A 12,411-nucleotide genomic window follows, 5' to 3' on the forward strand; every position below is an offset into this window, starting at 1 on the left:
TGGCCTATTATTTAATCTTTAAAAGAAAGAAATTTTGTCATTTGTGACAACATTGAACCTGGAGGACATTTTGTGAAGTAAAATAAGACAGGCACAGAGAGACAAATGCTGATGTCACTTATATGTGGAATCTAAAAAAGTCAAACTCGTAGAAACAGAAAGTAGGGGGTTGTTACCAGAGGTTGGACCAACGGGAGGGGAGAGGAAATGAGGAGCTATTGGTTAAGGGGTACAAACTTTCTGTTATAAGATGAATAAGTTCTGGAGATCTAAGGTACAGCATGGTGACTATAGGATTAATAATAATGTATTCTAGGTTTGAAATTTGCTAAGAGGTTAGATCTTAAGTTGTCTCACCACACACACACACACACACACACACACACACACACACACACACCCCCCACACTACACAAAGGTAACTGTGAAGCGACGGATATGCTAATTAGCTTAATTGTGATAATCATTTCACAATGCATACATATATCAAAACATTATGTTGTGTATCTTAAGTATATACTTTTTTTGTTGTTTTTTTGGAGACATGGATCCCATTCTGTTGCCCAGGCTGAAGTGCAGTGGTGCCATCATAGCTTACTGCAGCCTTGAGTCCCTGGGCTCAAGTGATCCTTCTCCCCAGGCTCCTAAATGGCTAAGGTGTGCATTGCCAGAGCCAGCTAATTTTTGTATTTTATGTAGAGATGAGGTCTCACTATATTCCTCAGGCTGGTCTCAAACTCTTGACCTCCAGTGATCCTCCCACCTTGGTTCCCCGAAATATTGGGATTACAGATGTGAGCCACTGCATGCGTGCTTATTTGTTAATTATACCTCAAATAACCTGTGGAGGGTAAGAGCATAAGCCTTCTGGGGAGGTTTGGCACTTGGCTGTGATGCAGGCCTTCTGACTTTTTTTTTTCTTTTTAAAATAATTAAAATAGAGATGGGGGTCTCACAAGTCCAGGCTGGTCTCAAACTCCTGGTCTCAAGTGATCCTACCACCTCAGCCTCCCAAAGTGCTGGGATTACAGGTGTGAGCCATGGTGCCCAGCCATGACTTTGTTGCTCAGCTCATCTTTGCCTCACACTGGCTGATGTCAGCTGCTGCGATAGGTGAGGTTTTAAGGGGGGTGGAGAGGGATTGGCAGGGGGCAGTTTTGCCATCAGAGTGGAGGTGAGGGGTCTGTTGTGGTGGCAGTCAGCAGCTGCCTGAGGATCTGGGAGAGACCTAGCAGGCAGTGAGGACAGTGGATGGCAAGGGGCCTCAGAGCTCTGTGACCTCATAATTTTCCTGTGGGACCACAAAGGTGGCTTCCACAGTGCATAGTGGTTATCAGCTGTGCCTCCCTCTTAGAGGTCCTCGGAGTCCAGAGTCCTCGAAGGGAAATCTGACACAAAGAAGCAGGTGTGAGACCGGCCCCTTTCTCCCATGCCTTAGACAGGGCTCCAGGGACTGCTTCAGGGGAGATGTCAGAGGGCAGCAGGGACCGGGAAGGGAGGAAGAAAGCAGAGTGACAGTGAGAGGTGGGAAAACTACAAGAGGAATTGTTTGTACGCTTGGATCTGGACTTTTAGAACTGGTCAGGACCTGACAGATCCTCCAGCCCAGTTCTCCCGGCTCTCAAACACTGGCATCATTTATAATTCCCTGGAAAATCACCAGCAGGTAAATGAAGGAGAAAAGAAAAGAACAAAATCCACCGGGAACCAGAGACTTCCAGGCTCCAAAGACAGGCAATCTCCACCAGGAAGTAAGTATAAAATCAACTTACAGTACTTCTTTCTTTAGCACTTAAAATGGATTTTATCTCATTAATGTCCAACAGAGACAAGGGCAACTCCTGGAGGAGCTGTTTCCTCACCCCATACGGCAGCTAGTTCCTCATTTGTCCTTCAGAGGCATGTAGAATCGTTCATTCACTGAATATTTATTGAGCATGTACTCTGCGCTGAGCACTGTTCTAGATGCTCAGAGTGGTGAATAAATCAGCTGAGGGAGGATCCTAGCCAGCCAGAGTTTACAGTGTCTTGCATGAGGGGGCTCAGGATATGCCATCCCAAACTGTGACTGTAGGAGATTAGCATATGCCATCCCAAAATATGCCCTTTGGCTTAAAGGATTATGTTGATTTGATTATTTTGAGAAACTGCAGACACAGGAGAAGCCCTGAAAAGTTAGTCTTCTGGAAGAGAAATTTACATCTACAAAGGAAATCTCCATTTGTAAGTGTGTCTTCTTCTGCACTAGGAAGAGAAGGATGACTAAATCAGAGAAGTCTCTTGTCAGAGAAAGCACGGACTTCAGTCTTCAGACTGAAGAGAATATACCTTCGTTTTATGATGATTTTTCTGGCCATCTCATCTTAACTGGGTCTTTCCCTACACTTTCTTTCTTTGTAGTTTAAATTACACCTTTGAGATCTATTCTAGAGATTACTCATCTCTCTGATTTATCTCCCATGGATACAAGAGGAATATATGCTATTAAACTACTGTTTGTTTTTCTCTTGTTAATCTGTCTTTTGTTACAGAGAAGCTCAGCTAAGAACTCAGGAAGGGTGGAGGAGAAAATTATTTTTCCTGCCCTGTATGGATGAGATGGGTGGCAAACAAACACTTAACTGGCAATGCTGAGTGGCATGGAGAACATGAAGTTGAGAGCAGCTCGGGAAGGCTGGTGTGTGCTAGTGGGGTCGTTATTTTCAGTAGGATGATGGGGAAGGACCTCACTAGCAGAGGAATCCTGAGCAGAGACCTGGAAGATCTGGAGAAGCCCATGTATTCACAGGTGGAATAGGGGTGGCACTCAGAGGGAATGGCAAGTATGAAAGCCCTAAATTGGGGTGTCCTGAATGTGTTGGAAGAGCAAGGAGGCTGGTGTGGCTGGAGAGAAGTTGTAACACTGATAAGTTCATTGCCCCATGCACACAGCATGTCTCCAGGTTGCAGCAGAGAAAGGGGTTCAATCCTAGGGTCACTGAACGAGGAGACGGGAGGAAATCTCAAGTCCGTTTCCCCAAGGAGTTTGGAAGTTAGGGTTTTTAAAGGTTTTGGAGTGGGCTGAAGTGTTGAGATTGTTGACTGGTAGAAGAGTGAAGGGTGAAGTCACGAGACAGGGAGAGGAAGAAGCTGTGTTCTCAGGCTGACCCTGTTCCTCTGTGGGGGTCTTCAAACTGGCTGCTAGAATTCGGGGTCTGAAAAACATCTTAAGCAATCCTTAACCAAAAGCATTATGATTCTAATGTTAGATATCCTGTCTATAGGAACAATGAGGATGCAAATGGGCAGGATCTGGTGCCAGCTGACTTTTAGCAACAAGGAAGTGGGCCTGAGTGCAGCCTGATGAATCCTTGATTGTAACTATATTTTTGTCCAGAACCATGGCATGCAATTCTTGTCAACCCTCTGGGATTGGTTTCAAAGTGATAACTTTGAAAAGAGAAAATGGGGGTATGTTGGCCAATGAGGCCACAGCGAGCCTGACCTCACAGGGCCTTGTGTAGTAAAGGGTTAATCTTACCCAAAGAGAGGTCTGGCCTTGGCTCTCTGCTCCTGGGAGGTGATCTCTGTGGCCTTGCAATGTCCTGCCTGGTAAAAGTGTTTTTTTTTACCTTGGGGCCTTGGGGTACACTGGATTGTGAAACAATATGATGGGGGCCTTAGGTCATGTCATATCAGTTTGATTTCTGGAGAAAGTTTTGATTTCTGGAGGAAAACAAAACATCAGCCATGAAGACAGTCGACAATATCTATGTAGTGAGCCTGAAGAAAAGCTCTAGATACCAAGGCTCAGATGACCTTTCCTGGTTGGCCATACTCTGTGTGCAACATCATGCATCGTGGCTGGGAGAAGACAGTGCTATTTGTTGCTCCACTGGGAAAGGACCCCTGGGAGCTCCACGTGTGGAACTCTCTTGCACTTGGCCTCATGCGTCTCTTCTCTTGGTGAATTTAATCTGTATTCTTTCCCTGTAAGAAACCATAACCGTGGGTATAATAGCTGTCAGTGAGCTCTGTGAATATTTTCAACAAGTTATCAAAAATTGAGGGTGGTCTTGGGGACCCCAGAACTTGCAATTGGTGTCAGAAGTGAGAGTTGTCTTGGGACCACCTTCTAACTTTACAGGCTTATAGAATGTCTTATGGACTTTGGCTCTTACTTTATATGAGTTGAGGGCCATTGTTTTGCAGGCTTTGAGCAGAGGAGTGACATTAGCTGACTATACATATATATTATATATATATATAAAATATATATTTTTATTATTATACTTTAAGTTCTGGGATACATGTGCAGAACACACAGGTTTGTTACATATGTATACATGTGCCACGGTGGTTTGCTGCACCCATCAACCCATCATGTACATTAGGTATTTCTACGAATGCTATCCCTCCCCTTACCCCCCATCACCTCGACAGGCCCCAGTGTGTGATGTTACCCTCCCTGTGTTCATGTGTTCTCATTGTCAACTCACACTTATGAGTGAGAACATGCGGTGTTTGGTTTTCTGTTCCTGTGTTAGTTTGCTGAGAATGATGGTTTCCAACTTCATCCATGTTTCTGCAAAGGACATTAAATTATATTTTTTATGGCTGCATAGTATTCCATGGTGTATATGTGCCACATTTTCTTTATTCAGTCTATCATTGATGGGCATTTGGGTTGGTTCCAAGTCTTTGCTATTGTGAATGAATAGTGCTGCAATAAACATACTTGTATATGTGTCTTTTTTTTTTTTTTTTTGAGACAGAGTCTCCCTCTGTCCCCCAGGCTGGAGTGCAGTGGCACGATCTCGGCTCTGTGCAACCTCCAACTCCCTGGTTCAAGCGATTCTCCTGCCTCAGCCTCCTGAGTAGCTGGGATTACAGGCATGTGCCACCATGCCCAGCTAATTTTTGTATTTTTAGTAGAGACGGGGTTTCACCATGTTGGCCAGGATGGTCTCGATCTCTTGACCTCGTGATCCACCCGCCTCAGCCTCCCGAAGTGCTGAGATTACAGGCATGAACCATCAAGCCTGGTGCTGGCATATGTGTCTTTATAGTAGAATGATTTATAATCCTTTAGGTATATACCCAGTAAAGGGATTGCTAGGTCAAATGGTATTTCTGGTTCTAGATCTTTGAGGAATCACCACACTGTCTTCCACAATGGTTGAACTAATTTATACTCCCACCAACAGTGTAAAAGCGTTCCTATTTCTCCACATCCTCTCCAGGATCTGTTGTTTCCTGACTTTTTAATGATCGCCATTCTAACCGGCATGAGATGGTGTCTCATTGTGGTTTTGATTTGCATTTCTCTAATGACCAGTGATGATGAGCTTTTTTTCATATGTTTGTTGGCTGCATAAATGTCTTCTTTTGTGAAGTGTCTGTTCATATCCTTTGCCCACTTTTTGATGGGGTTGTTTGTTTTTCTGTTGTAAATTTGTTTAAGTTCCTTGTAGATTCTGGATATTAGCCCTTTGTCAGATGGATAGATTGCAAAAATTTTCTCCCATGCTATTCACTCTGATGATAGTTTATTTTGCTGTGCAGAAGCTCTTTAGTTTAATTAGATCCCATTTGTCAATTTTGGCTTCTGTTGCAATTGTTTTTGGTGTTTTAGTCATGAAATCTTTGCCCACGTCTATGTCCTGAATGGTATTGCCTAGGTTTTCTTCTAGGGTTTTTATGGTTTCAGGTCTTACATTTAAGTCTTTAATCCATCTTGAGTTAATTTTTGTATAAGGTGTAAGGAAGGGGTACAGTTTCAGTTTTCTGCATATGGCTAGCCAGTTTTCCCAACACCATTTATTAAAAAGGGAATCCTTTGCCCATTGCTTGTTTTTGTCAGGTTTGTCAAAGATCAGATGGTTGCAGATGCACACACCTTATTTCTGAGGCCTCTGTTCTGTTCCATTGTTCTATATCTCTGTTTTTGTACCAGTACCATGCTGTTTTGTTTACTGTAGGCTTGTAGTATAGCTTGAAGTCAGATAGTGTGATGCCTCTAGCTTGGTTCTTTTTGCTTAGGATTGCCTTGGCTATACGGGCTCTTTTTTTGGTTCCATATGAAATTTAAAGTAGTTTTTTCTAATTCTGTGAAGAAAGTTAATGGTAGCTTGATGGGAAGCATTGAATCTGTAAATTACTTTGGGCAGTATGGCCATTTTCACAATATTGATTCTTCCTATCTATGAGCATGGAATGTTTTTCCATTTGTTTGTGTCCTCTCTTATTTCCTTGAGCAGTGGTTTATAGTTCTTATTAAAGAGGTTCTTCACATCCTTTGTAAGTTATATTCCTAGGTATTTTATTCTCTTTGTAGCAACTGTGAATGGGAGTTCACTCATGATTTGGCTCTCTGTCTATTATTGGTCTATAGAAGTGCTTGTGATTTTTGCACATTTATTTTGTATTCTGAGACTTTGCTGAAGTTGCTTATCAGCTTAAGGAGTTTTTGGGCTGAGACGATGGGGTTTTCTAAATACACAATCATGTCATCTGAAAACAGAGACAATTTGACTTCCTCTCTTCCTATTTGAATACCCTTTAATTCTTTCTCTTGCCTGATTGCCTTGGCCAGAACTTCCAATACTATGTTGAATAGGAGTGGTGAGAGAGGGCATCCTTGTCTTGTGCTGATTTTCAAAGGGAATGCTTCCAGCTTTTGCCCATTCAATATGATATTGGCTGTGGGTTTGTCATAAATAGCTATTATTTTGAGATACGTTCCATCAATGCCTAGTTTATTGAGATTTTTTAGCATGAAGGGGTGTTGAATTTTATCGAAGGCCTTTTCTGCATCTATTGAGATAATCATGTGGTTTTTGCCATTGGTTCTGTTTATGTGATGGATTATGTTTATTGATTTGTGTATATTGAACCTGCCTTGCATCCCATGGTTGAACCTGACTTGATCATGGTGGATAAGCTTTTTAATGTGCTGCTTGATTTGGTTTGCCAGTATTTTATTGAGGATTTTCACATCAATGTTCATTAGGGATATTGGCCTGAAATTTTCTTTTTTTGTTGTGTCTCTGCCAGGTTTTGGTATGAGGATGATGCTGGCCTCATAAAATGAGTTAGGGAGGAGGCCCTCTTTTTCTATTGTTTGGAATAGTTTCAGAAGGAATGGTACCACCTCCTCTTTGTACCTCTGGTAGAAGTTGGATATAAATCCGTCTGGTCCTGGGCTTTTTGTTTTGTTTTGTTTTTTTGGTTGATAGCCTATTAATTACTGCCTCAATTTCAGAACTTGTTTTGATCCATTCGAGGATTCAACTTCTTCCTGGTTTAGTCTTGGTAGGGTGTATGTGTCCAGGAATTTACCCATTTCTTCCAGATTTTCTAGCTTATTTGCATAGAGGTGTTTATAGTATTCTCTGATGGTAGCTTATATTTTGGTGGGATCAGTGATGATATCCCCTTTATCATTTTTTATTTTGTCTATTTGATTCTTCTCTCTTTTCTTCTTTATTAGTCTGGCTAGCAGTCTATCTATTTTGTTAATCTTTTTGAAAAAGCAGCTCCTGGATTCATTGATTTTTTGAAGTGTTTTTCATGTCTCTATCTCCTTCAGTTCTGCTCTGATCTTAGTTATTTCTTGTCTTCTGCTAGCTTTTGAGTTTGTTTGCTCTTACTTCTCTAGTTCTTTTAATTGTGATGTTAGGATGTCAATTTTAGATCTTTCCCACTTTCTCATGTGGGCATTTTAGTGCTATCAATTTCCCTCTAAACACTGCTTTAGCTGTGTCCCAGAGATTCTGGCACATTGTGTCTTTGTTCTCATTGGTTTCAAATAACTTATTTATTTCTGCCTTAATTTTGTTATTTACCCAATTCAGGAGCAGGTTGTTCAGTTTCCATGTAGTTGTGTGGTTTTGAGTGAGTTTCTTAGTCCTGAGTTCTAATTTGATTGCACTGTGGTCTAAGAGACTGTTTGTTATGATTTCTGTTCTTTTACATTTGCTGAGGAGTGTTTTATTTCCAATTATGTAGTCAATTTTAGAAAAAGTGTGTTGTGTTGCTGAGAAGAATATATATTCTGTTGATTTGGGGTGGAGAGTTCTGTAGATGTATGTTAGGTCCACTTGATCCAGAGCTGAGTTCAGCTGATATCCTTGTTAATTTTCTGTCTTGTTGATCTGTAATATTGACAGTGGGGTGTTAAAGTCCCCTACTATTATTGTGTGGGAGTCTAAGTCTCTTTGTAGGTCTCTAGGGACTTGCTTTATGAATCTGCGTGCTCCTGTATTGGGCACATATATATTTAGGATAGTTAGCTCTTCTTGTTGCATTGATCCCCTTACCATTATGTAATGCCCTTGTTTGTCTCTTTTGATCTTTGTTGGTTTAAAGTCTGTTTTATCAGAGACTAGGATTGCAACCCCTGCTTTTTTTTGCTTGCCATTTGCTTGGTAAATCTTCCTCCATCCCTTTATTTTGAGCCTATATGTGTCTTTGCACATGAAATGGGTCTCCTGAATACAGCACACAGATAGGTCTTGACTCTTTTTCTGATTTGCCAGTCTCTGTCTTTTAATTGGGGCATTTAGCCCGTTTACTTTTTTTTTTTGAGATGGAGTTTCACTCTTGTTGCCCAGGCTGGAGTGCAATGGCCCGGTCTTGGCTCACTGCAACCTCCACCTCCTGGGTTCAAGTGATTCTCCTGCCTCAGCCTCCCAAGTAGCTGGGATTACAGGTGCCCGCCACCACACCTGGCTAATTTTTGTATTTTTAGTAGAGACGAGGTTTCACCATGTTGGTCATGCTGGTGTTGAACTCCTGACCTCAGGCAATCTGCCTGCCTCGGCCTACCAAAGTGCTGGGATTACAGGCATGAACCACTGCACCCAGCTGTCCATTTACATTTAAGGTTAATACTGTGACATGTGAATTCGATCCTGTCATCATGATGCTAGCTGGTTATTTTGCACATTATTTGATGCAGTTTCTTCATAGTGTCATTGGTCTTTATATTTTGGTATGTTTTTGCAGTGGCTGGTACCGGTTTTTCCTTTCTATATTTAGTGCTTCCTTCAGGAGCTCCTGTAAGGCAGGCCTGGTGGTGACAAAATCCCTCAGCATTTGCTTGTCTGTAAAGGATTTTATTTCTTCTTTGCTTATGAAGCTTAGTTTGGCTGGATATGAAATTCTGGGTTGAAAATTCTTTTCTCTAGGAATGTTGAATATTGGCCCCCACTCTCTTCTGGCTTGTAGGCTTTCTGCAGAGAGATCCACTGTTAGTCTGATGGGCTTCCCTTTGTGGGTAACCTGACCTTTCTCTCTGGCTGCCCTTAACATTTTTTCCTTTGTTTCAACCTTGGTGAATCTGAAGATTATGTGTCTTGGAGTTGCTCCTCTCAAGGAGTATCTTAAAGGTGTTCTCTGTATTTCCTGAATTTGAATGTTGGCCTGTCTTGCTAGTTTGGGGAATTTCTACTGGATAATATCCTGAAGTGTGTTTTCCAACTTGTTTCCATTCTCCCCATCACTTTCAGGTACACCAATCAATTGTAGATTTGGTCTTTTCACATAGTCCCATATTTCTTGGAGGCTTTGTTCATTCCTTTTTATTCTTTTTCTCTAATCTTGCCTTCACGCTTTATTTCATTAAGTTGATTTTCAATCTCTGATATCCTTTCTTCCACTTGATCGATTTGGCTATTGATACTTGTGTATACTTCATGAAGTTCTCGAGCTGTGTTTCCTCAGCTCCATCAGGTCATTTATGTTCTCAATTAGGTAATTTATGTTTTTCTCTAAACTGGTTATTCTAGTTAGCAGTTCCTGTAAGCTTTTATCAAGGTTCTTAGCCTCCTTGCATTGCATTAGAACATGCTCCTTTAGCTCGGAGTAGTTTGTTATTACCCACCTTCTGAAGCCTACTTCTGTCAATTCGTCAAACTCATTCTCCCCCAGTTTTGTTCCCTTGCTGGCGAGGTGTTGTGATCTTCTGGAGGAGAAGAGGCATTCTGGTTTTTGGGATTTTCAGCATTTTTGTGCTGGTTTTTCCTCATCTTCGTGGATTTATCTACCTTTGATCTTTGATGCTGATGACCTTTGGATGACATTTTTGCATGGGTGTCTTTTGTTGATGTTGATGTTATTGCTTTCTGTTTTTTAGTTTTCCTTCTAACTAGGAAGGAAAACCAGGCCCCTCTTCTGCAGGTCTGCTGGAGTTTGCTGGAGGTCCACTGCAGACGCTGTTTGCCTGGGTATCACCAGAGGAGGCTCAGTTGGAAATGCAGAAATCATCCACCTTCTATGTTGGTCTAACTGGGAGATGCAGACCAGAGCTGTTCCCATTCGGCCATCTTGCCCAGTGAATGTGTTTTGTTTTTTAAAGACAGGGTCTTGCTCTGTTGCCCAGGCTGGAGTGCAGTGGTGTGATCATAGCTTACTGCAGCCTCAAACTCCTGGGCTCAAGCAATCCGCCAGTTTCAGCCTCCCAAGTAGCTGAGACTACAGGTGCTGCCACCATGCTTGGCTAATTTTTTATTTTTATTTTATTTTTGTAGAGATGAGTTCTTGCTTTGTTGCCCAGGCTGGTCTCGAACTCTTGGACTGAAGCAATTCTCCTGCCCTGGTCTTCCAAAGTGCTGGGATTACTGGCATGATTCACTGCACCTGGCCTGCCTTTTATTTTAATAAGATTGTAAAGCTGCTATGTTGAGAATGGGCTAAAAGGGAGGTGAAGGTAGAGGCAGTGAGAATATTTAGAAAGTGATTCAAATACAGTTCAGGGGAAGGATGATGGTGGTTTGGACCAGGGTGGTGAGGAGTGTCATATTTAGGTCTCTTTGAATTTACAACTCACAGGACTTGCTAATGGGATGGGCATGATATGTGAGAGAAAGAGAAATTGGGGAGGATTCCAGCTTTGGAGGCTAAACAATTGAAAGAGAGGAGACAGCCTTTACATGACAGGAGACAGGCAAGTAGGGAGTGGGAAGAATTAGTAAATATCATTAGATTTTTTAAATTTTGATTTTTAAAATTTTTAGCTTTTTTTTTTTTTTTTTTTTTTTTAAGAGATGGGTCTTGCTATGTTGTTCAGGGTGGTCTTAAACTCCTGGCTTCAAGCAATCCTCCTGCCTTGGCCCCTCAAAGCACTGGGATTACAGGCAGGAGCCACTGCACCTGGCCTCAATTAGATGCTTTTATAAAACTCCCACTTAAGGCAATTGTTAAATGGCTACAAAGCTGAGTTTAATCCACAGGCACCGCCTTTGCCTCCAGGAAAGTGGTGGGAAAATATATATATATATATATATATATATATATATATATATATATACACATGCATACATACATAAATATATATGTGTGCATATGCATGTCTGGAAAATGTTTCCTATGGCTTAAAAGTCAGAGTTATGATTTCATCTTATTAGCAACTATTTATCCCCATAAGTGTTGAGAGATGAACATGGAATCCTAGAACAGTGGCTGGAAGAGTGACCAGGCCAGTTTTTCCTATGCCTGTCTGGCCTTAGCTGTGGCTAGGTTCCCTGCACACTTCCCAACACACTGAGCAAGTACCTTCGTGTGTGATGCACCACTCTAGATGCGCAGACTCGGTTGATGATCTGAGGCTGTGAGCAGAAAAGAGCAAGAGAAATAAAGTCCTAGTTCAGTTGTGGGTGGAGACAAAATATCCACAGAAAAGGAAAAAGCAACTTCCTCAATTGCCAAATGATGTGTAGGTAATATTCTAATATTCTACTATGATGATAAAAACCATTACAAACATGTATTTTTTGAAAATAAGTTCCAAATGACATCCTGTGTTTTGTTTTTTTTTTTTTTTTTGAGACAGGGTCTCACTCTGTCATCCAGGCTGGAGCACAGTGGTGTGATCATGGTTCACTGCAGCTCCTGTGAACCTGCATACCTTCTGGGCTCATGCAACCCTCAGGCCTTACTTAGCCTCTTGAGTAGTGGGACTATAGGCACATGCCACCATGCCCAGCTGATTTTTAATTTTTTTGTAGAGATGGGGTTTTTCCATGTTTCCTAGGCTGGGACATCCTTTTAAAATAGCAGACTTATTACAGCAAAATAACAGTTGTACAGTTTTTCTCTCTTTTTCTGTAAAGGGGAATTTTTTTTAAGAGATGAGGTCTTGTTATGTTGCTCAGGCTGGCCTTGAACTCTGGGGCTCAAGCAATCCTCCTGCCTCAGCCTCCTGAGTAGCTGAGACTACAGGAGCACAGCACTGCATCTGGCTTGTAAAGGGGATTTGACAGTGCCAGCTGTATACCATGTTCAACAACATCTTGCTGTTGAAGGGAGGTGGAGTAATGGTGTGATGGGAGGCAACCTAACTAGGTACAGTTAATGAATGGAAGTCCTGGCGGCAGAATGAGCACCTTACACGTAGAGTGACAGCAACAGGGAAGCTTGGGTCTGGGGGAG

General features: G+C 41.8%; 1 long non-coding RNA gene across 1 annotated transcript in view; it reads left to right on the top strand.

Moving 5' to 3' along the window:
• The first annotated feature begins 1,293 nt into the window (after positions 1-1,293).
• The window catches only part of LINC01517 (long intergenic non-protein coding RNA 1517), a 64,570-nt gene continuing 53,452 nt past the window's right edge, over positions 1,294-12,411 (top strand). The window contains exons 1-2 of the long non-coding RNA NR_120652.1: positions 1,294-1,405; positions 1,667-1,751. This is a non-coding gene — a long non-coding RNA (long intergenic non-protein coding RNA 1517). The remainder of the gene's footprint in view (positions 1,406-1,666; positions 1,752-12,411) is intronic.

The sequence above is a fragment of the Homo sapiens genome, chromosome 10 (assembly GCF_000001405.40).
Source record: "Homo sapiens chromosome 10, GRCh38.p14 Primary Assembly".
NCBI lineage: Eukaryota > Metazoa > Chordata > Mammalia > Primates > Hominidae > Homo > Homo sapiens.